General features: G+C 37.1%; 1 protein-coding gene across 4 annotated transcripts in view; it reads left to right on the top strand.

Annotated features, from left to right (window-relative positions):
• Window positions 1-27,497, top strand: part of CNTN3 (contactin 3) — a 352,092-nt gene that overhangs the window by 220,645 nt on the left and 103,950 nt on the right. For all 4 annotated transcript variants that reach the window (NM_020872.3, NM_001393376.1, XM_011533768.3 and 1 more), the window contains 3 exons: window positions 22,616-22,819; window positions 24,024-24,126; window positions 24,642-24,826. In NM_020872.3, the coding sequence (NP_065923.1) occupies window positions 22,616-22,819; window positions 24,024-24,126; window positions 24,642-24,826 (492 nt within the window). The remainder of the gene's footprint in view (window positions 1-22,615; window positions 22,820-24,023; window positions 24,127-24,641; window positions 24,827-27,497) is intronic.

Genomic DNA, 27,497 nt, shown 5'->3' with positions numbered 1-27,497 from the left:
TGCTGCACAATATCTCCTCTACCTAATATCTCATCTTTTACCTTTTTGTTATTGAGATTTTTATAGAATGTACTTTTATGATGCTCTAAGTGCTTTGAATCACAAGTGTTGATCTATCTTTATTGCTATTAAACTTTCAGAGATATATCAGCTACAATTGTGCTTGTCATTCTGTGTTCATTGATGGGTAGTGAAAGGTCAGGTTCAACATTAAAAGATTCTGCAAATGGAACAGGGAAACTTGGCACACTGTGGTGGATTTGGAATCACAGATCTCTTTCTGGCCCTCGCTTCCTCTCTGACCTCAGTCCTACTTTTCCCATTTCCCTCTGTGTTTCAGCCATACTGACTGTCTTGTGTGTTCCTTCTACCTGGCAGCCTCAGTCCTGCCTGAGGGCATTTGTCCGAGATATTTGCACAGCCTGGAACTCCCTTATCTTTTCAAGGTCGGCTCCTCCCTGATAATTACATTTTGGTTTAAGTGTTAGCTCCCTAATAACACTCCCTCTGCAAATCATCAAGAAAGGGAAGGTCACATGCTTCAAAAAATATACCAGGGAAGGAAAAGTGAATTTAAGAGGAGGAAATTAAAAAGTTTTAGAATTGTGTGAACAGATTTTCAAAATTATGAGATAGCAGCACATACACATTTAAACACCAACAATCAGATCTGCACTGTGGTTTGGGAGTTCATAGTGACATGCATTCTGGCTTGCAGTCATACATTGGTTAGTCAAATGCGTGTTCTCAGACACAGACCTCCTGCTCCTAGTCATGTATTAAGAAAAAAAATATCTCACATAGCTCAGGATGGATTCATGTTTGAAGATGTTTCTTTCAGTCGAATTTGGACTGTTGAAGTAATGGAAGCAAGCTTGGAGTCCATTACTGGGATAGAAGATAAGTTAAATATGGCAGATGCACTTCATGGAGTGTTGTACCCAAGTTAGAAACCACAATAAAAGGTACAATGTGGATAGATCTTAAAATAGCACCTTTTGAAAAGAATTAAGATAGGTAATTAGATATATAACACAGTACCATTTATGAAAAAAAATACCCAAACCAAATTGCTGGGAATGTTCTAGACCTTGATCTGGGTGATACTTGCACAGGTGAATACATATGTAAAAACTCACCAAGCTGTCCACTTAACATGGTGCACTCTACTGTATGAATGTTAAACCTAAATTCAAAAATAAAAAAAAAATAAGCTCTGTCCCTGACTACCCTGCTCAAAGTACTTCTCCCAAGTCCATTTCTATTGCATCAATCTTTTAATACTCTTTTTGTAGCACCAATCATCACTTGGTATCTTTCTAATATATGTTTGTGTGTGTTCATTAATGGACTACCTCCCACTACTAGAATGTAAGCTCCCTAGGACAGGGAACTCCTCTAACGTGTATGCTACTATATGCTCATTAGCACCAAGTTCTCTCTGTCTTGTTCTGCTGTACAATATTCTCTCGACCTAATATCTCATCTTTTGGCTTTTAGATATTGACATTTTTATAAATATTCTTTTATGATGTTCTAAAGCCTTAGCGATTGCTGAATAGATGTTTATTTGTTGAATGAAAGGAAGGAAGAAAGAAAAAGAAGAAGCAGGGTGGAAGGGAGGGAGGGAGGGAAAAGGAAAGACAAAAGTAAAGAAGAATGGCAAAAAGAAAGAAAGAAAACAGGAAAGGGAGGGAGGATATGTAAGCAGACCAAATATAGCCATTGTCTTGTCAGCTCTAATTTACTTCATCAGTAACTCCCTTGCCTCAGCAGGCCCTTTCTCTGTTGGAGTAACACTCTTTAATTAATGTCCTTGAATTAAATACTTCACATTCTTGGAACCTAGTTTATATGTTCTCTCACTGTTGTTTTTTTCTCCTCTGTCTCCTTCCTTCACTTCCCCCTTCTTCTTAGTTCCTCTTCTTCCCTTTTTGCATCACTTCTCATATTTTTCCCCCATCTCAGGGCCTATCTCTAGTTATCTAAGCAAAGTCACATCACAATTCTCATAGAAATTAGAAGACAATGTCTTACTTAAGACTCTAAGTGTGGGAGTCTGGGTGCTGTGGCTCACACCTGTAATCCCAGCACTTTGGGAGACCGAGGTGGGCTGATCACTTGAGGTTAGGAGTTCAAGACCAGCCTGACCAACATGGTGAAACCCCAACTCTACTAAAATACAAAAAATTAGCCGGGCGTGGTGGCACGCGAACGTAGTCCCAGCTACTCCAGAGGCTAAGGCAGGAGAATCGCTTGAGCCCCGGAGGTGGAGGTTATAGTGAGCCAAGATGGTGGCACACGAATGTAGTCCCAGCTACTCCGGAGGCTGAGACAGGAGAATCACTTGAACCCCGGGGGTGGAGGTTATAGTGAGCCAAGAACATGCAGCTGCACTCCAGCCTGGGGGACAGAGCAAGACTCCTCTGTCTCAAAAAAAAAAAAAAAAAAAAAAAAGAAACTATGGGAGTACAAAATACTAATAAGTAACATTTATTGAGCATTTAATTTCATATGGGCCACAGAGATGTACTTTACATATATTAAGTTATTTTATCTTCTCCACAGCCCCATTATTTTCCCCATGTTACAGTTGGGAACATAAGCTCAGAATGTGTAGCTTGCTCAAGGTCATGTAATTGGTAAGCAGTAGAGCTGGATCAGAGCCCATACACCTGAGCACTACTTCCTATACTGTCCCCCAGCATAGTAAACAAACATTTACTAGTAACCAAATCTACACATTGTTAGCAGTGCTATGTCTTTATGGTAGTATAATATTCCATATCTTCTTTAATCTGAAAAACTCCCATTTTAAGGAGGAAGCATGCAGTAAGAGAAAGCATAGATGATCCTGGGGGAGCCTGTTTGCATCAAACAAGGCTGCTACCTTCCATGTAAATCTCGAGATGGTCATCATGTTTTATGGGGCTGCCAAATCCAAAGTTATTAAAACCCTTTCATTCATATTACAAGCTATTATGTGTTTAATTCCTCCGGTAAGACACATCTCTGGTAATTCATGACTAAAAATGAGTTCATATTATCATATGATAAATAGAGTAGCGGCAGAAAAACGAATAAATGTAAAAGGAAATACTTTCACAGTACACAGTGCCTTTTTAATGTCTTTAATATCTTTTTGCCTGTATTAACCTCTGTATCATAATTCTGATTGCCCAGTGACACTCGCCCATTTATCTGAACACTGCTAAATCTTTTATTATCCCATTACCACGTTTATAATGGTGTAATTTGTGTTGGGGAAGCATCTGCTAAGTGTTAAGTAGGCATTTGAAGAACATATGGGTGGGTGGATACTGTCAACTAGGAAAGGTTTAGGGCTGACCCGATTTGCCTGACAGGCTATGGCTGCCTTGCCAATATTGATGGTAACAGTGTACAATTCCAAGTAAGGACTGCTTACCTTCTGTGACTTCTGCTTTCCCTTCCCATGCCTACCTCTCAGAGTGTATTGTAGTTTCCAAATGGGTTAACTCTGTTTCTTGATTTTTTTTTTCCCCCAAAGCAGCTCAAAGCTTTCTGGGGCCTGATGGAAGGAAGAACACTGACATAGAGAACTGTGGAAGCAGAGCCAATTATTCTGTCATCAAATAGCCTTTTCTAAAAAAAAAAAAAAAAAAAGCATACTCTCAGCAGACTGGTAAAGTAAAAACAGCATGCTGTTAGGGCTGTTTAACATTTTTCTTCTATTTAGTCAAACCCTTGAACAAAAGCCCACATTCCACATTCCGGGCCTCAGTCCCACCCAGGTGAAATACTGCAGGATTTGGGAATCTAGGTCTATTAGAGCCCTAAGTCAACTGTTGGAGTAATGCTTCTTAATGAGATCAGTTGGCTAAGAGATGACATTTTTGTTCTTGTTAGTTCATAGAGTATCTTTTGAAGGTCATTGCATATAATTCCTCGTACCATTTCACTAGAAGGAGAGGTGATGGAGGCATCTGAATGGGCGGTCAGTTTAAAAGAACAGATCTGAAGAAAGGCAAAGGTTTAGTGTTGTCTCCTACAAATTATCACCATGCTTCTTCCCAAGAATCCTAATTATGTCTTTCAGGAGCCCCTTATTTATTTCAGAGAGAGTAAGAAGGCTTCCTTCCAAGTCATTAGGTTTGGGATCTAAATTGTAGTTTCATTTCTCTCTTTTTTCTTTGGCATATGGAATAGAGCTTGGATTTAGGAAGGAGAAGGGGACAATAATGGCCAGTCTGAGTTAGTTTGTGCAGAACTGCTTAGATTTGAGGAGCAGGGACTTAGGAATTACGCTGGGTTCAGACCCTGCTTCCCCCACTTATTATGCCTGAGATCTGTCACCTTTATGGGCCTCAATGCTCTCATCAGTAAAATGGGGATAATACCTACTACCTGATGGGATGGTGTGAAGATTAAAAGAGATGTCGGTGTGCAGTAAGATAACACATGACACGGTCAATTCTCATGAAGTATTAGCTATTACTGTCACTACTGTAACTATTAGTATAGTTATTATTACAACTATAAAATACTTTTCTCAGTATATGTAAGAGTTTTCAAAGCATAGGATGTAATACACAAAAATAATGCTACAGGCCTTTTGGGACTTATTTTTATTTATCATGTTTGTTTCTGTAAAATGGCTTTTAAATAGAGGTTTATGAGAGTCAGACATAATCTTCCCGTGAAAAAAGGAGAATACCTGTTTTCCCTTATGTAACTAGAAAGCTCTTACCTATTGAGCAATGTGTTAAAATGACTTCCAGAATTAATCCAATTTATTAATTCAGTTACCACATAAAGGTGATTTGATTTAATTGTCTTTAAATACTAATATAAAAGCCAGTATAATTCCATAAAGTTTGCCTATAAATATCTACTCATATACAGTATTTGAGAGATAAAGATCAGTAGTTTTTAATAATTAAAATTCTATTTTTAAACACCTCAATTTCTCCTCTCAGTAACTTGCACACAAAGTTGGTTGAAGCTGCATGTTGACGGTATGAATCCAAACTGAAAAATTAATCAGTCGTGTAAGACGAATGGCCAGAGTACGTGTATCGATCTCTAATACAGAAAACTGCAGGGATTAACTTTAATAATCAAATGAAAATGTGGTAACTAACATAAGAAATGAAAAAAGGAAGTGGTGGACTAGCTGTTTTTTAAGTAAATATAAGTAATTGATGAATCCTTATAAAATATGATTTCTCTGATTTTATCCAGGACTTCCTGTGGTATCAAATACAAGGGCTTTCTTTGTTGAAGTTGTAAAGGCCAGTCCGTTTTATCTTGCCTGTATGCTTGTAGGCAATTTTGTGGGATGCCCTGTGAAGAAAAAAGGGTAGGGTATATTGTGTATTCAAAGACTATTTTTGCTGTTTCTTAGGATATAATTTATCAGGAAATGCATATTAGACTAAATATAATTACTGGGATTTATTTTATAGATTTTTGGGGGTAGAGAAGTTTTTTATAAAAATAAATCTATTACTGGATTTTAAGAGCTATTTTCTATGTTTGTGTTTTTCCTTTTTTTAACAGCTATGGAAACCTCTGTGTACTCACTTGTTATAATTTTTCTTAAACTGAATTTTTGAGTCACACTTAAAATACTTGAAATTCTAAAATCAGTGATTCGAAAGCCACTCAGTTTGAGTGTATCTGATTATCAGAATTACATAATTAATATTCTGGGGATACTTTATATACTCAATAAACTTCTAATATATTAGATTCTCAATAAATATTTACAGTGTAGACTTTTTATTTAAATTCATGTACATTTTTATATTTATCATTGTTAACTGGTTTTTGCTGTATGTTAGGTGCTCACTTTTTGAGAAACACTAGGATGATTTTAATTCAGTGAAATTACATGTATCAGACACTCTCCTGGCAGTGTGATGGACTAATGACTGGCTATTCCAAGAGCCAGTGCTAGACCATCTGCCTCAGCCATCAGCCGGGAGGGCTACTATGGGTCCACCATCCACCTTTAAACATTTCCCCTTTAACCTAGGATGCAAATTTATCAACTACAGGAGAGAAAAGAACATTTTTAATTACCAGGTCCCATTTTATAGATGAGTTAGAATGTTAAATATAAATTAAGTTTCTTTTCCTACCTTGTTGTATGTCGTCATTAAGCTTCAAAAGTTAAGTAGAATGGAGACCTTTCTTTCATTTTCAATTAATATCTGGATACCACCCAAAACAATGGCATGGGGATGAGCATTTAATGAACAGCTGTTCTGATTTTAAAGTCAAAGCAAGTTCTCTCTAGCCCCATAGGGAGGTGATGAGATATTTCCACGACTTAAGATTAGAGACAGTCTAGTGACACTTAGGAATAATTATTCCCATTTGGAAATAGCAAGTTAGAAATAGAACTCCAAATCACTGCTAGCTTTTGACACTTTTCAGGCCCATAGACCAACTCCCAGCTCATTCTGCACCACCTGTACTGTGAACCCCTGCCTTCATGGCAAACTTAGCTCTGTCCGATTAATTTAGCAGAAAACATGCTGTGTTTTGGCATTTCTGCATTTTGAGTATTTCTCAGAATCAAAGCTCAGTCCTATTAACTTTCTATTCAAGGGAGACCAGATGAGTTTTTTTGGAACATTTTCATTGGCTTATATTCTGTTGAAAGTAACATTTTAATCCTCTTTTATTTCCTGCATAGTTCTTTTATTTTGCTCTGTCTATAAATATATACAATTTAGTCAGTTGTTTTGATGAAGGTTTATTCTTGCCATGTTCCCCATCTGTTTTTAATATATAATAGTATTTATGCATCCAGGAGTGTTTATCTCTGTGTCTCCAAAAATTGCAGCAAAATACTATTAAAAAGCAGCTTCCACCATTCAATCTGATTGGCCATAGGAGTCACATCTCCACACATCATCACTTTGGAGTTTCTTACTGTCAACAAAGCACAGTAAACTTGTTTGACACCTGCTTGCATCGCTTTCCACTGCCAGTATCTTAAGCTCCTCCAGTTGTTTTTGTCTGCCGCCTCAGACACCATTTTCTCACTTCTTGAATCAGAAAGGGCTGGTTCACTGCAGTATATGTGGTATCCAGCCCTGGCTCTCTGCTTCTCCCACAGAACCTACATTTTGATCCTCCTTTGCAGGATACCCTCTGAGGACAATCAAGCAAGACCAAAATGACAACAAAAATAAGAACACTAACCACAAACATTTATTGAACACTCATCATTTGTTATGCATTCCTGTATGGACTTGGTATGCATTATCTTATTTAATCCACATGGCACACCTATAAGGTTATCATTTTAATTTTACAAACAAGGAAACTGAAGAATAGAGAGGAAAGGAATCTTTCCCTGGCTTACAGAGCTCGCAGATACCAGAACCAGGGTTGGAACTTAGTCATGTGTTTTAATTGTTGCTTTTAATTTGCTTTGTTTGTTTTCTGTGTATGTGTTTTCTGTTTTGTTTTGTTTTTGTGACAGGGTCTCACTTTGTCATCCATGCTGGAGTGCAGTGGTGCAATTATGGTTCACTGCAGCCTTGCCCTCCCAGCTAATTTTTGTAGAGACAAATTTTTCACCATGTTGCCCAGGCTGGTCTCGAACTCTGGGATCAAGCCATCCACCTTCTTCAACTTCCCAGTGTGCTGGGATTACAGGCGTGAGCCACCGCCCAGCCATATACTCATGTTTGTAATCACTACCCTAGACATTCTTTTATACAAAATGAAAGCTGTAGAGGGGATTTAAGATTTTAAGGATTAGAAGAGATCTTAAACACCTGCATTCCCCAACCCTTTTGAATTCTTGGATACATTTTAACTGTCAAAATGTTACTGTTGCTAACATGATTGAGCACCTACATAGAGAGGACAGCTTTGTGTAGTGGTTCAGGCTCTGACTCACACTCCCTGGATTCAGATCCTTCCAACTATATTATGTGGGGCTTCCTCCATTATCTTAGTTACCTTATCTGTAAAACAGGATGATAATAGTACTTTCCTCCTATACTTTTTTGAGGAAAAAATAAGTTAATATGTGCAAGTTGCCAAGATCAGTTATTTGGCTCACAGTGAGAAGTCAACTTAGCTGCTTTTATTGGTTTTCATATTTTTGAAAGAGAAACTACGTGATACCCAAAAGTTATGATGAATTCAGGAACACTATTTGGCTGAAGTATATTTTTGTTAATCACAGTATTGCTCACACATTTTAAAAAGCAGGACCTGCATACATATTTTATAATATAGAATTAGTTCAGTCTCTCCATCAACCACAGCATGCATATGGATTACCTAATCCTTGTGGAAATTCCACAGACCCCAAAGAATTCACATCCCACAGGTTGGCAACCAGAGCTGTCTCGTGCAACCCTCTCATTTTTCAGGTAAGAGAAAAAGCTGAGACCAGAGAGTTTAAATGAATTTATCAAAGGGCACACACCTAGAGGACAAAGACAAGTGTAAACCTCAAATCCTATGACTCCAATGCAGAGGTCTGTCCTCTTTCCAAAATTACGCAAAAAGCTCATTTCAGGTTACTTTAACGATCAGAGATAGCAATAGTCAAAACACTTTTGTGTCCTTAAACAGTATTTTGTACTCTGAATTTCTGTTCTCTACATTAGCTTTGTTGTTTCTCCTTGTTAAGTGACAGAGAAACTTCCCTTCATATATTCATATATAAGAGGACAAAAGGAAATTTGGAGAGATGTTCTATGTTCTGTCTACTAGCCACCATTAAAGGTCATCCAGCACCCTAGGGGATGATGGCCAAATCCTTGTTCCTAAGACTGTTCTCATTGCCTTTTTTCACATTTCCTCTGGGGACCAAATGGTGCAAAAGAAAATTCGCTAATTTGAATTTGAAAAATCCTTCTCTAACAAGAAGTGATAAAATTTATTATTTTTATCAGAGCCCAAGTAAGATAAGTGTCTACGAGTGACAGAAATAAAATATAGCTATGAGGTTGCTTGATCTAAAACATGGCACTCTAAATAGCCTGTGATTTCACACATTCAAATCAGAACCTAGAAAGGCCCTTCAGTACATGCCAGCGGAAGATCAACTAATTGAATTAATGAAATAAAGGGATGAAAGAAATAAACATACTTATAAATATCCCAGAAGATATGTTGTTGAGATAAAATTTGGTACAAAACAAATATGAGCAGTTCAGTAATTCCCAGAGCCCTATACAGCATATGGTCTCAGAAAAGACAGAAAAAGTGTCTAGAAACAGAGGACTCAAGTCCCACAGAGTAACCAAAATAGATGTGTTTCTTTTACTTGTAACAGAATATGAACTGCCAAAGTGTAAATGACAGAAAAGATCTTTATATTACCTCAGTTAATATTAAGAAAAAGAATTGTCAAAAACCAAGGTAAATCATCAGGACAACTTGTTTAATAGGAATTTATTTGGAAAATAGGGAGAATAAATGGAAAATGTAATATTGAATCACTAGTTGAAGAAATAAAGTTCAATATTTCTCCATTTGAAAGAGAATCAATGAGCATTTGTATCAAACAGATTAGAATTCCTAGGTAAGTTTATTCTGGACTTTGATCAAGGCAGAATCTAATGCTCTTTTACTGCAGTTCTACATATTTGCTTCTTGGAAAGAAAAGCGTTTTATCATGTTGGCGGAAGAATACTCACATGATTGCTGCTTTTTCTTTTCACAAGGAGATCTGTTTCCTTTATTAGAATTGCTTTATACAAGAATGCGTGGAAGAGGGAGCAGGTGGTTGCCCTGCATTTCCTTGTATTGTTTGTTTCCGGTAAATATAGTTGGAACTAAAAAATGTCAGGGGACAGTGCTCTTATAACTTCTATTATAGTTGTTTCTTTTTTGAAAAATATAAACAGAAAGAAAATTATTTAAGTAGTAAATGTAAACTTTACTACAGCCTAGGGATAACTGTAAATAGAACCATCATATTTAGATTATATTAAATATTCAGTTTGGCTTGAAAGGCCAATGCCCTTTCTACCAATTGAGGACTATGGCATGAGCTTTGAAAGCTTTCTGCCTCAGGCAAAAATGAGCTGAGCCACTGCTTTGAAGTCGAATTAGGACACATTTGCTTTTATTTCTGTAACTCTATCTGCCTCAGTGAACTGTTCTGTAATTTCGAAAATCACAATGAAGCCAATATTCAATCAATTCAGTATTTTTATATTAGAGCAAGAATCAGATTAGAATAACTGTCTCCTTAAAAATGAAAAGGGCCAGGTGTGGTGGCTCATACCTATAATCCCAGCACTTTGGGAGGCTGAAGTGAGTGGATCGCTTGTGCTAAGGAGTTTGAGACCAGCCTGGGCAATACAATGAGACGCTGTCTCTACAGAAAATTAGAAAATTAGCCAGGCGTCATGGCATGCACTGTGGTCCCAGCTACTCAGGTGGCTGCAGTGGGAGGATCACCTGAGCCCTGGAGGCCAAGACTGCAGTGAGCCATGATCTTGCCATCACACTCCTGCCTGGGCAACAGAGTGAGACCCTGTCTCAAAAAACAAAAGAAAAGAAAAAAATCTGAGATCTGCATAGCCCTGAAATATAGTATTATAGAATTCCTTGGTTAAAATTTTGCCTTTGACATGTGGTACATCAGGATGCCTCTCATTCATTCTTACATCTTTACCTTTATTGACCCATTCAACACGCATCTATTACTTAAAATGGTGTGCTGGTAACTAGATAGGTGGAGTGTTGAAAAATATAATAGGGAGAAAGAAAACCCATTTAAATAACAAGAATATGGCTACTACTAGAAATTATTTTTAGAATGAAGTGTCTTTATATCATTTAAATGACATAAACAGCATCATTTCCAGGAGGCTCATAAGAACAGGGTATGAGTAGAATAAAGGCAAGTTTCATGTTTTTGCTAATTTTCACTTCCCACTGTCTAACTGTTCCTTATTCCCAAGTAGTGGAAATTGTGAAAGAGACTCTGAATTAGACTCTGAATCAGCTATTTCTTCAGGGGTAAATCTTTAATTGATCAGAAATTATTTATTGCATTGATGTATACTGTAAAGAAGGGGCAATTGATAGGAAAGTATCAAATATAAAATAATGACAATGGAGGATTTGATAAAAAGGCCAATTGGTCAACGTAAAAACTACTTTCAATCAAAGATCAGAAAGAGACCATTTCTGAAGAGATATCTGCACTCCCATTTTCATTGCAGCACTGTTCACAACAGCCAAGATGTGGACTCAGCCTAAGTGTCCATCAATTGGTGAATGGATAAAGAAAATGTTGTATATATACATGGTGGAATATTCTTAAGCCTTTACAAAGGAGGAAATTCTGTCATTTGTGACAGTGTGGATGAACCTGGAAGACATTACGCTAAGTGAAATAAAGCCAGGCACAGAAAGACAAATATCACATGACCTCACTTACACTTGGCATCTAGAAAAGTCAAGCTTTTAGAAACAGAGAGTAGAATGGTGGTTACCATAGGCTGGTGGTGGGGGAGTTGGGGAGGAGGGAATTGAAAGGTGTAGGTCAAAGGGTCCAAAATTTCGGTTAGATAGGAGGGACGTGTTTTTGAGATCTATGGAACTGTATGGTGACCGTAGTTAGTGACAATGTATTATGTAATTCAAAATTGCTAAGAGTATATTTCACTACAAAATAAGGATAAGTATGTGAGCTAGTTGATATGTTAATTAACTTGATTTAAGCATTTTGCATTGTATACATATACCAAAACATCACACAGTACCCCATAAAAATATATAATTATAATTTTTCAATTATAGATAAACATTGCTATTATTAGTTTTTTTTTAGGCGGAATTTTGCTCTTCTTGTCCAGGCTGGAGTTCAAAGGTGCGATCTCAGCTCACCTCAACCTCCACCTTCTGGGTTCAAGTGATTCTCCTGCCTCAGACTCTCAAGTAGCTGGGATTACAGGCGTGTGCCACCATGCCTGGCTAATTTTGTATTTTTAGTAGAAACGTGGTTTCTCCATGTTGGTTGGCCTGATCTCAAACTCCCGACCACAGGTGATCCACCCGCCTCGGCCTCCCAAAGTGCTGGTATTACAGGAGTGAGCCACCACTCCCAGCCAATAAATATTATTTTAAAGTTTTTTAAGACTCAAACATTAAACAAATGAGAATTTTCACTGAAATCTGAATTTGAGCAGTAACCTTGTATTTCTTCATGCATATTTCTCTGTAACATCAGGAGGGCTTTTTTTTAGCTAAATTATTAAAATTGCATAAAGGCTGTTGCAATTATTTTTTCAGGCTTTGAAAGACTTTTCTACAGAGTCATAGAGTGATAGATATTTTTCCTGGACATATCTCCATAGCCAAGATAGACAAGGATTGGAAAGATAGTGTAGGGGGGTAGGAATAAATGTATGTATAAACATATATATTTATTACTGAGGTAGTACAAACACTATTTTTATTACTCTTTTCTATCACTTTTCTCAAAGCCTATAAAACTACTATCTGTATTTGACTTGAACCTGAAGCAGCTATGAAGTCTCCAGCATATCCTTTAATGCCTAAAGAAATTAGCATTTATAGAGACCTACTGGTTTGAAGGGCAGACTGGGATTACTTTTGATTATTGATTTCTAGGGGCATTTTTTTGTCATGTTTATTTTGCATATCCAGACATAATTGCATATCCTTTCATAATCATGTACTTATATAGCCACTATTTCTTAAATGTCAGGTTGCTCTGATATATTTTAATTGTGCAATTTATAATGAAGCCATCACTTATTATTTTAACCGATTCAGAAAAGTTATCATTCAGAAAAAATAAAAGATTCCTTTTAAGATAAGGGTTTTTTTTAATGGTGTTTAACTCTGATGAATAGTTTGATGTGCTACTAATGGACAAAAGTACTGTGCGTGCGTGTGTGTTTATGTGTGCGTGTGTGTGTGTGTGAGAGAGAGAGAGAGAGAGAGAGAAAAAAAAAAACAATTTCTCCAGCTTTCTAAGGAGTCGTTCATTGTCCCTGGTAAGAAGACCCTTGTAATTTGGCAGGGCAACTTCATCTTCTGCTAATGACCTCATTTCTGTTTACCAGTGAAAATGGACATTTTATTAAGCTTTTAAAAATCACCCGTAATGCAAGATGAGAACAATGAAGCCCCCATGACATTCCTTAAAGGAAAGAGTTTAAATTTTGATAAAAGAAAATGAGATGTAATGTGGAATGGACAGTGTTATTGTGACGCAGCACCTTTATTCACTAGCCCTTAATTATTTCAGATATTTTATTGCACATTTTCCCTGTCTGTATGGTTCTTTTGTATCACTTGCAAACTGATGAAGCCCCTCTCTGGAGTTAGGTTCTGAGAGTTGGTGTGGGAATGATAAACCAGAAGCACTACGTTTGGATTCATTAAAGGATGGGCTTTCCATAGTTAGGTTGTACTAAAGAAAATTTCCATTTTGCAAGGGCAGTGTAAATTTTGCATGCCATTTTAATAGCAAGGCAGGTCAATCAAATCATAATTGTCTACAATTAGCACTCCCATGAGATGTAAGCTTCTTTATCTTCTCCAGGACTGAACTGAAAAAGAAATTGTTATTTACTGTCACTGAAGTCATAGAAAATGCTTGCTATTCAATATAAGCGATGAGGAAAGTGCCAGTCTGGCAAAAGGGTTTGGCGTAAATTTAAGATCTGCACACCAAAATGCACATTGTATCAAGCGTGGCTATGTGCAAAATGTGCTATTACAAAGCACTTTCTTTCAGCACACAAAGCAGGTCTTGGCAGTGAAATGTCCAGTGTTGACAGCATTTTGGTTTGGAGCTAATCTTAAGATTGCTTTCTAGCATTTTCAAGGACTCTGAACTCTTTTGAAAAGGTACATTTTGATACTGAAAATGAGGAAGTAGAGAAGAAATGCATTGTATTTCCCAGTTCGTTCTATCTGAAGTGCCAGTGCTGTCGTTTTGGGAATCTTTTCTTGAGTCTCATCACTGTACCAGAAAGTCCAGGTACAAGCTGGAGGTTGCAGGAACTGCAAGCTTGAGGCTGTGGCATGAGGGAATTGTCTAAGTTTCATAAAATATTACAATAACTCTATCCAGCTCTCACTATGTCGCATTCTCTGCTGTGAAAATTTAAACTCCTTTCTTTAGCAATGCCATGCCTCTTTAGCAGCCTTGCCAAAGGAAGGAGGTCAATAAATGTCTTGCCAATGCTGTTGCTAGTCCTCTTCAGTCCCCCCAAGCCATTGCTGGGCATCCTGTTTTGAGTGTCTTTGAATTTGGTCCCATCATTACACTTCTTCATCTTGAGATGTCTTTGGAGCAAGGAGTGAAGGGTAGTCAGTCCCACCGAAAGAACTTCAACTGGAGATAGGAGAGGAGATGTTCTCTTTAAAATAATTCCTCATGAGAAAAAGAAAGGATACAGAATGCAAGCAAAAATACAAACTAGCTTCCAGAGTTGCTCTTCACATTTTTTGCATTTACAGATATGAAGGTAAGCACTTCAGTTGGGTACGTGAAGGACATTGCTATATCAATAGCAGCAGCCGTGGCACCAGGAAAGAGACATTTGTTAGGAAAGACGCTTCCCTGGAAGAAGCATTAAAAATGAAGACAATGAGGCAGGTGGATCACCTGAGGTCAGGAGTTCAAGACCAGCCTGACCAACATGGCGAAACCCCGTCTCTACTAAAAATACAAAAATTAGCCAGACATGGTGGCGGACACCTGTAATGCCAGCTACTTGGGAGGCTGAGGCAGGAGAATCACTTGAACCCACGAGGCAGAGGCTGTAGTGAGCTGAGATCATGCCACTGCACTCCAGCCTGGGCAACAGACCAAGACTCTGTCTCAAAGAAAAACAAAAGTGAAGATAAGGGGTGACAATATATTGTAGAGTCACAATGTGGTGAAAGATGCTAGTACCCACTGGTGTCAGTTCCTGAAAGAAAATGGTAGAACTGAATATAGTGGAATAGTATCTCAGGAAACTGTTGTCTCTTGGATAAGTGTTATCTCTGTTACCTAGTAGAAATAGCTCATATATGCTCAACTAAAAGCAGAGACTAAAACAAGAGAGAGAAAAAGGAAATAGTGAGTACCAAAGTCTTAGGGGCCTAGCATGAGCTTTGTGAAGCTTCGTGTAGGAGTTAGGACACCATGGTAGCCCTACAAAAGCAAGAAGGGAAAAAATAAAATAAGACAGTTAAGGGAATGTTAAGCTCATAACTTGATCTCTAGATATCACTGGCCTAGGACAAGGTTCAACAAACCTTTTCTTAAAAGACCAGATAAACATTTTAAGCTTTACGAACCATGCAGTCTCTTTTACATCTGCTTAACTCTTTATTAGCATAAAAGCAGCCACAGACAATAGTAATTGAATGAGTGTGATTGTGTTCCAATATATTTAGTTAACAAAGCAGGCAAGTCTTAGTTCACTAACCTGTGGCCTAGAACCAGCCCTAAAATATGAGGTGAGAAAGGAAATAGCATTTTTAATGTTTTTCCTCCTTGGTCATTGTTCTCCTTATCTTAGGACCCTCGCAAGTCAGACTTGGTAGTATCCTAAATCAGAATGGATTAGTAGACATTTATAGTCAAAACAAAGAAACATACAATATATAATAGTGTCATCCACAAAGCAACAACTTACAATACAGCTTTTAAAAGATAATGCAACGAAATGTTAAACATGCTGATAGATGTCTTTCGGTTTACAGTGCGGACTCTTCAATCCTAACCATTGACTATGTGTTATTTGAACCTTAAATTATCCTTAGTTTTCTACATTGTTTTAGATCATTGAGTACATACTGCATCCCAGACTTTCCACCAAAGTGGTGTGATTTGTAAGCATCAGAGCAAAATTCTCTTCCTGATTGTATGAATCGGTGATAAAAATCTTGAATGACATCAAGCAAGCTTTCACACACTTTTAAATATGCTTTGTTTTAAAGTAGGTCAGACTTCCCAGTTGGCATCACAGAAAATGGCCCAAGTTACTTTTAAATTTTGCCTAACTGCAATTTTGTTTGACAGAATTTCTTCTGGAAAGTGGCCATAGAAGGATTAAATCTCCTTCATAATATAATTTTACAATGGAACTACAGATAAAAACTTGAATGTCAGTATTATATGTATTAGTGTATCTCCAGATAAACACCAGAGTGACATATTTCATGTTAAATTGACTGGTCTTATACTTAAGTGACCAGGGAAGGAATATAGCTAGAGGCAGAATGCCATTCATCACATATTACTTTTTAGAAAGCAGTTTCAGGACCTCATTTTTTAAATTTATAGCTTTGATTGGCAAAACTTTTTGACTTTTGAATTAAAAAAATTCATATTCCTAGTATTCACATAGCATTGTTAATAGAAAGCCCACTGGCCAAATCGTTTGGCATAATGTGCTTGTGATTTACACAGGAGGTTGTGAAAGGTTTTGTAAAGACTAGCTTGTTTGAGTATATCAAATTATCATTTTTATTACAGCTTTTTATTTATCGTAGTACATAAAATGATTTTGAGAAATCTCCAAAGAATGCTGATTTGATACAGATTTTGCTGTGATACAATTAACATTTATTGCAAATGCAGATTTTTATGATAAGTAAATTCTGATATGATAGTATTACCGTAGACTTTTTTACTATATTCATAATGCATAAATCACATTATTCTCAAATATTTTCAGTCAGAATGATATATATGTACATATATATATAAACATAGTCATAGAGGCAATAAATGAAAAGTTAGTGCAGCTCTTCTCTCTAAGACATAAAAGTTATGTTTCATTTTATCTCAAAGAGTCTATAAACAAAGATAGGTGCTACAAATTTCTCCATACCTCTCATGACAGTGTACAACTCTATTCAATGCAAATTTGATTTTTTTCTATGTCTTTAAGGGTGTGAATCTTTGAAAAAAGTAATCAATCACTATTTGTTTGGGGGTTGTAGTTTGATATCTCTTTTGGAATACCTCAACATTATATTGATCTTATAATCATATTAAATAAAATCTGATTCTTCTTGAGGCTTTCCAATTACAGCCTTTCTTTAATTTTTTTTTTTTTTGTCTCTGTTCATCTGTTTTTTTTGTTTGTTTGTTTTTTTGAAAATTCTAGCCAAAGCACTTAGCACTATACCTGGCATTTAACAAACACTTGATCATTGTTAGCTATCATCATTATTTGTGTGAATTTCCTATTGCCAATATAACAAATTACTACAAACTTAGTGGCTTTAAGTCAGCAGTCCCCAAACTTTTTGGCACCTGGGATCTGTTTTGTGGATGAATTTTTTTCCATGGACTGGGGTGGGTGTCAGGGAGAGTTTGGGGATTATTCAAGCACATTACATTTATCTATGGTGTACTTTATTTCTGTTATTATTACATTGTAATATATAATAATTATACAACTCACTGTAATGTAGAATCACTGGGAGCCCTGAGCTTGTTTTCCTGCAACTGGATGGCCCCATCTAGGGGTGATGGGAGACAGTGACAGATCAGCAGGCATTAGATTTTCATAAGGAGCACACAACCTAGATCCCTCACATGTTCGGTTCACAGTAGGGTTTGTGCTCCTATGAGAATCTAATGCTGCTGCTGATCTGACAGGAGGCAGAGCTCAGGAGGTAACGTGAGCAATGGGGAGCAGCTGTAAATACAGATGAAGCTTTGCTTGCTTGCTCACTGCTCACCTCCTGCTGTGTGGCCTGGTTCCTAACAGGCCACAGACCAGTACTGGTCCATGAACCAGGGGGATTGGGCACCCCTGCTTTAAACAACACACATTTGTTCCCTTACAGTTCTGTGGATTAGAAGTCCAACGCAAGTCTCAATGGGCTCACATCAAGGTGTCAGCAGGGCTTTGTTCCTTGGGGCTCCAGGGGAGAATCCATTTCCTTCCCTTTTGCAGTTTCTAGAGGCTGCCCGTGTTCCTTTGCTCTTGGCCACCAGCAAGTGATTGTATGGCTTAGACCTCTGCTGGTGTAGTCATACCTCCTTCTTTGACTCTCCTGCCCCTCTCTTTCCCTTCTAAGGACCCTGGTGATTACAGTGGGCCTACCAGAATTCACAGCGAGATGGCTAACTTAATCACCTTTGCCATGTACATTACTTCCCTATTGCTCTTGAAACAAATTACTACAACACAAATTTATTCTCTTACAGTTCTGGAGGTCCAAAGTCCAAAATCAGTTTCACTTGGCTAAAAATCAAGAAATTGGCAGGCCTATGTTGCTTATGGAGTTTCAAGGAGGCAATCTGTTTTTCTGCCTTTCTGGCTTCCAGTGGCCACCTGCACTCCTTAGGTCATGGTCTCTTTCTCCATCTTCAAACCAAGAGCACAGCATCTTGAAATGTCATTCTCTGACTACCATACCTGGTTCTGTGGTCACGTTTCCTTTTCCCTTACTGTGACCCTCCTGCCTCTCTCTTATAAGGACTCTTGGGTTTACATTAGGCCCATCTGGAACCCAAGATTGTTCCCCTCAAATGATCTTTAACTTAATCGTGTCTGTGGATTACCCCTTGTCATGTCAAGTAACATATTTTCAGGTTTCAGGCATTAGAATGTCGACTTTTTCTGGGGACATTTATTCTGCCTACCCCACCAATATTAGGCCCAGACTCTCTCTTAAGCTTACATTTGAATCTCCCAGCCACTCACTGAACATTTGTGTCTAGATCCTCTGTCTGAGTCTCAAAAACTATTTTTACTATACCTTTTTCCAGCCCCAGAGTGGCTCCTCCTACTTTTCCTGTTTCTTCCATTTATCCAAGCTGAAAACCTTAGAGTTAGTTTTTCTTTGTTGTTCGTCAAGGATCTTTACTCTCTTGATTTTCTGGGGTTGTGTTTGGGAGAATCGGTAGAGGAAGATCATTGGATTATTCAGTTACATATCATTTCAATAGGTAGACCATATTATTGTGCTTTTAATATAAAATTATGCTTACTGTGCTGCTGAGATACAAAGAGAAAGGGAGTGTTTATAAAACCATTTTTTAAAATGGCTTTCAATACTATGAAGTATATAGGATGTGTATTTTCTGGACAGTTTTATATGGATCACTGAAATTTTGCATTGAATGGTTGTTCAAGAATGTAAGTCCAGTGTAATTCAAGGGATATTAGTATACCACTCTGAGATAGACCTCCTAATTTGCCTGATTACACTAATTCCTAAATGAAGGATGCAGAAATCCTAACTTCTACAAAGCAGAAGCTTCTTTCCATTTGTTTTCAAATTTTATATGAAGGTTTAGGGCTGGACAGCAATTTGGCCCATGGAGATGGTGAAATATTTTCTTCTTTGGTGGTGAAATCTGTAAATGGTGAATTTTTTCTTCTTCCTTCAGTGGGAATCTCAGAGTAGCCTCACACTGTTTTTCTCTGGGTTGCTGTCTTGCCTTCACTTGTCTGCAGGGCAGGTACCAAGAATCAATCAGGAGTCAGTTTGCGTATTTAAAGAATGGGAGTGACATGAGGGGATTGTCTCAGTGGAAACTGGGGAGAGGGACAGTTACTCCTAGGAAAGGAAGTCAATGAAAATGGGCATTCTTTCAGAATTCAACAGGGAGGAGAAATTTTAAATACAGAGGAGAGTCTGTTACTCAATTTCAGAAACCCCATGTTGAGATTCCCTGAGACACATACACCAAGATGGGACTAAAGGATCAGACTTATAAAAAGAAACTGGAGAAGTTTTTTTATTAAAAAAAAAAAACTGGAAAAAAGGTGAAGGAGCAGAAATGGGCAGAGAGCCTCAGACTGCGAGTCAGGTCCCATGTTGGTGAACAAAGAGTGGGGAGGAAAACTTGCTTAGGAAGAATGTCAGACTGCAGCACAGTTCTGAGGATGCTGTAGCTGTAAAAATGGGGAGTTGCCGAGCCAAAATTGCCCGTTAGAGAAATCCTTCATGGGGCAGGAACGAGCCAGCATTAGCACCTCCATTCAGTTCAGTACTAGGAGCAGCGCAGGGAGGTGTGTGGCCACAGTGCTCCTGGGGTAGCAGGTAGAGGCCATCAGTCAACTGTGTTCTGTGCTTTAGGTTCTCTTGAAGTGAAACCTAAGGGGGAACCTCCATGTCTGCACCAGTCTGCACCTTGATTTGTACATATCCACTTCATGTTCATTTTGGGAGCAGCCTTAAAATGATTTTAATTTTGGCTTCCTTCCTTCTTCTACCAGTCAGTCATTTCCTGTGTCATATAGGCAAAGCCACCACAGTATCTCTATAACTACATAATAATGTTTTAAGTATCAATAATGTTAACCTTTGGATTAAAATAAACATTATAAAGGGAGTTATGCAAACATTTTGAGTTGAACATTTTCAATCAGAATTATATTTGTGATATTTATTCCAAGTGTTGCATGGAGTTATTGTTCATATATTCTTATTACTGTATAATATTATCTTGCATGAATTCACCAGATTTTAGGTTTTCTGACTCTGAGTCAGAGTTCTTTTTCTCAACCATTCTTTTTGGTATAAACTGGGTTAATAGGATTGACTTTTTATTCCTAATGCCCTGCTAAGGCCTGCTATATTGGAGAACAGTAGATATCTGGCTGGGTAAAAGGGAGAAGGACAACCTTGTTAGTTTCATGTGTGGAACACTTTGGAAAGCAGAGAAAGATTGCTTTCCCTCCTTTACTGCAAAGTGAGGTTGCCGGAGCAGCAGGAAGACCCTGAAGGGCTCTTGCTACAACAGCTGCCAGTTTTAACAACTGCAGAACAAACTCAACCTACCTTGCTAGTATTATTTTCCTCTATGGTTTATTCAATACTATTGCAAGAGAAAAGCATCATCAGGATAGGCCTGAGAATAACCATAATGTTTGAGATGCATTTGTTTCATACAACCCGATAAGTGACTTTAGAGCTCACAACTTATCACATGACTGACTGAAATTTCATGAAACATTATACCAATATGACAGCATGATTTAAAGATCAGTTTGAGGTTAAAACCAATGTTTCTGGATGTCTGTATAATTTGCAATTGGCTTGCTAATTTTTGGAAACATCAAGCATTTGCATTTGCATCGTGAATGGGAATTAGTCATCATGTTTTATTTCTTCTAGGTCCTTAGCATGTTCTCTTCTCTGCTGGCCTTTTCTCATGTTCTTCACTCTACTTGGAGTGCTTTTATCCCTGCTTGTTGGGGTGTTCTCCTGTCCTTTAAGGCCTGTTCTTCAGCCATGAAAGAATGGCACCTGTCCTTCCTCTAAAACTCATGGGAGCTCTCATCTAACCCTTCTCCTTATCTCATTGTTATTTGCATATTGATTTACTGTTCCCTTTACCAAAAAGAAAGACCTTCACCATAGGAATTATCTCTTAAATATATTTAAACTTGTTATTCATTAAATTTATTTTGATTCCATGTTTTCCAAAAGTTTTTTTTTTTTTAAACTCTATTGGGAAAGCACTACAGTAATGAATCAATACAGTAGAGTTAATGCAACTAAGAGAAAATAGGGCTCAGGAAAGCAGGAAGCCAATAAGCCAACCACAGTAACCGTGCTTAAATCTCAACTTGGCACTGAACAACCTGGGCCTCCAGAACAAAGTGGCATATTATTATCTAGCCCTCATTATCATAAAAGAGAAGAACAATGGTTCCTTTGCAGAAAACTGATTCACCTTGGCCATAAAGTTCAAGAAAACTCTCATACTGTACTTTACATAGATGTTAGTCAGTAGCATAATTGTATCCTTAACTAACTCCATGAATCTTTATTGAGGCCCTACTAAGTGCCTTTGAGTGTTTCATTTTGCTAATTTGGAGGAGGGGGAAGGGCAGGTGAAATAAAAACTAACATCGCTTGTTTAACAAGTGATAGGAGGACAGACAAGTAAGCAGAATGTTACATACTGATAAGCGTTTTAGTTGAAATAAGCTTAGAATTACTCTGTATAGGAGCATCAACCCAGAGAAGGAGGATTAAAGGAGAGTTCACTTGAGGAGGTGATTCCTGATGTTGGAACCAAGCTTTGAAAACCATTTGAAGGTTATCTCAAAGAATGTGGTTGGTGTTGAAAGTAGAGAAAGCCAAAGACAGGACAGAGACAACAGGAGTTGTAGGCCCCAGAAGCAGCACGTGCAAAAGACTCAGGGACAAAAGAGAGCATGGGGCTTCTCCGAGGCTAAGGTTTTGAGCAGGACCTTAACCATGAAGGGCCTCATATTCAGGTTAAGCAATTTTGCATGATGCCTGAGAGGTTAAAGAACTTCGCCAAGTTTGATGTCAGGAATTGACATGATTAGATTGTTAATTTTGAAATATCATGGTAGAGGCAGGATGGAGATATGAACTAAAACTGAGCAAGACCAGAGAAGCTTGTTAGAAGGTGTCTGAAGCAGAGATATTATGACAGTAATAATATTGCTCCCACCAGGATGCTAATCAACGGTGTCCTCTATAATAATAAAGAATAAATTGAGAGTTATTTCACTTAACTGCTTCTCTTCATGGCCTGCAACAAAAACACTCAGCACTACTTGGAAGTAAAGTTGATGTTTGTATAGATACATTAAGGACACAATGGAAAACTGTCCTTAATGATGGAATTTCTTTCTCTCTTCAACAATTTTATTAGAACTGTCATATGCTTGGATCTTCAATGAATACCCATCGTTTGTTGAAGAAGATAGTCGGAGATTTGTCTCCCAGGAGACAGGGCACCTCTACATATCTAAGGTGGAGCCGTCTGATGTGGGAAATTACACATGTGTGGTGACAAGTATGGTGACAAATGCCCGAGTGCTGGGCTCTCCAACTCCTTTGGTGCTACGTTCTGATGGTAATGAAACTTCTCCAAGTGCACTTCTGAGCGTAAATGGTGCTGAGGCTGCAAACAAAAGCAATTGGGAAAATGTAAAAAGTACATCTAGAAGAATTGTCACTTCATGTTTTTTGGCACAGACTATTTTATGAGTACAATGACAAAAATGATTTGATAACTCATAGTCCTTATGCATAATTCTTACCCCGGGCAAGCTTCATAATTTGCAGGGACCAGTGCAAAGTAAAAATGAGTGGCCCCTTTTTCAAAAATCATTAAGAATTTTAAGACAGCAATGGCAAAGACTTATACCAAGCATGAGACCCTTCTGAGCCCGGGGCTCGGGTTGCACTCCCATGAAGTCACCTGTCCTGACTTTTGCCAGCTTGAGGTTTTTAAAGCTCTGGATATTTTGTTATAGGCTAAAAATCATCACTAAAGAAACCATTAAAGAAAAATATCTGTTTCATCAACACCTTGATGGCTGTTTAAGGGGAGTCTATGAGCTGCCGAGGAAGCAGATCCGTAAGCCTGGGTAGTTGACCCATTTACACAAAACCATATCTGATACAGCATAATGCTATGACCACAAAGCATTGAAGCACTTTTTTCCAGTCAGTTATAATTGAATTTGACCTTTCCCATTTATTAAGTCATTGTTTCTTAACTCCAGGGAGCCATTTAATAAGTTTAAGATTGGTATCTCTGCTACTAGGGTATCATTAAGTAAATTCCCTGCCATAATTTTTGTTCTTTAGGGAAATTTCAGGAAGCAATAATATATTATATATTTCAGTTTGACTAGCAATGTCAAAATTGAATACACAATTTCAAAGCCTCCCATTTTGTGTAATGTAAAGGCTCAGTGGTTTTCTTGGAACTGCTCTGTACGTGGTAACCTATGAATCAGCAAATCCAAAGTTCTTAAATGTTTATTAATATTGCATGTTTGACCCAAGTTAGTTCAGGTTTTTTAAAGCTCTGGATGTTTTGTTAGAGGCTAAAAAGCACCACTAAAAAAATTATTAAAGAAAAAATCTGTTTCATCAACAACTTGATGGCTGTTAAAAGGGAATCTGAGCTGCATAGACTAAATTTTATTTAATTGAAATCACTAGAAGAGCTGGTTCAAAATGGGAGCAAAAGAAAGTTTTATTTAAGAAAAACGAGGCAATTCTAAAGGAAATATTGAAACGATTAACTTTATATTGTGGATTTATAGGTGTGATGGGTGAATATGAACCTAAAATAGAAGTTCAGTTTCCAGAAACTCTTCCAGCAGCTAAAGGTTCGACTGTGAAATTGGAATGTTTTGCCCTTGGAAAGTAAGTTTTATAACATTTACTCCTATGTGCTGAAATATTAGGTTGCTATAAGAAATCAGGATGGTTTTTGAGAGACTCTTCTTTTTTATTTTCTAAAATTTACTTTCATTTTGAGGCAAAGGAAAAACAAAATGCAGGGGAAATGCACATATAAAATTGAGTTTGAAACTTTAATATTCAAAGTCGATTTGAAGAAAATTACTCTGCCTGCCGAATTTCATAAAATAAATTGGTGGGTTTTTTTTTTTCTTGTTCATTTGCTGTAATCTAATATGGTGGGTCTGTATTAGGCTTTTTTCTCGAAATCATGTCAAGAAAAATGCAGTTTATTTTATTAAAATATCAACTTAAAGAGTTAAGTTAAATCTTTTTTATCAGGTTTATATAATTGACCATTGAAAGTGGTTTTCTGCATTTAAAATCCTGTGCCTTCTTGTTCAATCTTAAAAGCTTTATTTTCTCAAGTTGAAAAGGCTTCCAGACAATAGCAGACAACTTGACGATTTTCTTCTTAGTCCCATACCTCAGATTAATTGGAGAAGAAGTGATGGGCTGCCATTTTCCAGCAAAATTAAATTAAGGAAGTTCAGTGGTGTGCTTGAAATCCCCAACTTCCAACAGGAAGATGCAGGTTCCTATGAATGCATTGCTGAGAATTCACGAGGAAAAAATGTTGCCAGAGGGCGTCTCACTTACTATGGTGAGCATCTGCTTTGGGCAAATTGGAGTTTTAGCTTTTACTTTCTCATCTATAAAATATGGTTGTTATTTAGGGGTGAGAGATTATAGCAGAATCCCAATGTTCAACTTGTTGGTTAAACATTTTGTTAAGTGATGATAAACATTGATCATAGGGGGAATTAAAAAGAAATAAATTTTTGTAATGAAGTTGGCGACATAATATATTCATTTTGCATTTTAAAATGATTCATGCAAAGATAAAATATTTCATATTTTTTTCCTAAGAATAACCTCTCACACACTTAAACACATTAGAGAGAGATCTCTTTTCTGTCTGTCTTCTCCTCTAGAAAACAGGTTTTGTATCTTTCTTTGTTACCTCTACTAAAGAGAAAAAAAAAAAACTGCCTTTTGGGAAAAGTTGCAATTACTGTATTAAACAAACCACGTGAACTCTGGCTCTTGTTGAGTTCTTCAGTGTTATTCTATCCCTTCCAATAATGTATCTGTACTCTGTTTGCTGCCTTTAATTTGCAATCACTTTTATTTGATGTACTGCTCAATTTGGGTAAGGAAGGAATAATAATGTCACCTTTATTTAGAGTCTATTTGTAGGAAAATTAGATTGCCTTTTTTTGAAATTTTTTTCAAACCTCTTATTTTAAGAAAACTAGGTTTTTGATGAAAACATGACTTAGAATAAATATATAATTTTTCAAAACGGATTTATAAAATATATGGAGACGTATATATTCAGCTCAGTGAATATATATTTGCACTTTAATCATTAGAAACATCGCAAAACTAGTGGGAATTGACCACTCTTGTCAAAGGTAAATTGCATTATATTCTATTTATTTTAGAATTTGGAAATTGAAACATCTTGCAACACGTCCTTGGATAGCATATGTGCATGTTGCAAGGAAGAAAAGTTTGCAAAGGCAAATACTAAAATTGTAGGTCTTATGACACCCCGCCTTGAAAAATATGAAGTCTACCAGTGCATTACTTCTGGCACGATTAACACTTGTTATTATATTGTAAGATTTTAGGATCTGTCAGAAACAAAATGGAGGCATTGTTTGGTAGCATGAGTCATTCTGTTTTGTAACTCTCCCATCTTGTTGCTTGATTAGTTTAGAATGTATATAGCACAGAACTTACCCAGGTTTCAAGGTCTTTGGGTTCCTAGGATTCTATGGAAATAGGGGGTGAGGGAGCAAGCACTTAACCCATGTGGCTGTCCAGCTCTAAGGCCCCAACAAAGCAAGTAACCTTTTCTCATACTCTAGCTTAGTTCCTTCTTTCTGCGCAACCACTACTTGATCTAGGATAAGAAGTGACCATTATGGGAACACACCGGATATTCCAACTGTATTAATGTTTTAGTAGAAATATTTTTAGCTCTATATAACAGAAACCCTGTATACATAATAAACAATTGTATGCTTCATATGATGAGGAAATCCAAAGCTAAATTGTCATTTAATTACCTTATCATCAGGCCACGACCCAGTTTCTTTGTGATTACTTTTTCTGCCCTTGTCTATTTTTTTTTTCCTTTTCTGCATGTTAGTTTCCATTATGATCACAAAATGGCTGCCAGCAGTGACTAGCACATCAGTTGTTACTCATCCTTCCTTTCTCCAAAACATCTAGAAGTCCTCTCCTCAAACCTCACTGGCTACATGGTTCATTCCTAAACCAATCAGTGGCAAGGAGAAATTAGATTAGACAATTAAGTGCTTCACTTTGGAACAGAGAATAATGTCATGTTTCTATAGACAATGTGAGGTGATGGAAGAGTGGACAACTGAATTAAAAATTGGTGTTATTTTAGGAATAAGGAAGAGAGGAAATGAATGCACAATAGAAAACCAACAGTGTCTGCTCTACTTAGTAAAAGAGGTAGACTATTGCTTTAGTCCATTGTGTAGGTAATATGATACATACCTAAAAAATAAATCAGAAATTAATGGCATAAAGCATTTCATGAAAGTTGCCTTACAATTTCTATTTAACATCAATATATTAAGTAGAGGCCATGCAGTTCTCTGGTTATCTGCTCTAATATTTCATGTAAAAAATAGTCTATAGAATATTTGCATCTCATATGATGGAATAAAGGGAGAAATCAGAATTGATGTGGCAGTTATGATTTCAGGATTTTTTAGTCCAGCGAATTATCCTCCCATTTGGAGAAGAAGAGTATTACTATGGGAAGCTTGTGGGATTTTTTTTTTTTTTTTAGAAACTCGGGTCTCTATAAGAGGCTGATGTGTGAGTCTATTCACAGTCATGTTCCATCTCAGGCTGATCATTCCTGAAAGAAGAAGAAAATGTGTTTTAATATAGAGAGAAGTGATTTGGTACTGAACTACACTTCATACTGAGCAAGTTATATATATATATATATATATATATATACACACACACACACACACACACGCACACACACATAAAAGAGAAAACTTAGATGAATACATTATCTGTAAAAGCTAAATAACCATAGTTTCTTTTCAGTTTCATTTATAAAAAAGTAATTTTATGAGCTAGAAATGGAAAGACAAATCTTCCCATGGTTGCAGTTAAATAGAAATAGATAAACTGTTTCTCCATATGGAGGATGCAAATGTGAATCCCACAGTACACATCACATGCATAATGCAATGTGAAACCAGTAAGGCATC

This window comes from Homo sapiens, chromosome 3 (assembly GCF_000001405.40).
Source record: "Homo sapiens chromosome 3, GRCh38.p14 Primary Assembly".
NCBI lineage: Eukaryota > Metazoa > Chordata > Mammalia > Primates > Hominidae > Homo > Homo sapiens.
The sequence above is the reverse complement of the archived record's forward strand: the minus strand, read 5'-3'. Positions and strand labels throughout refer to the sequence as shown.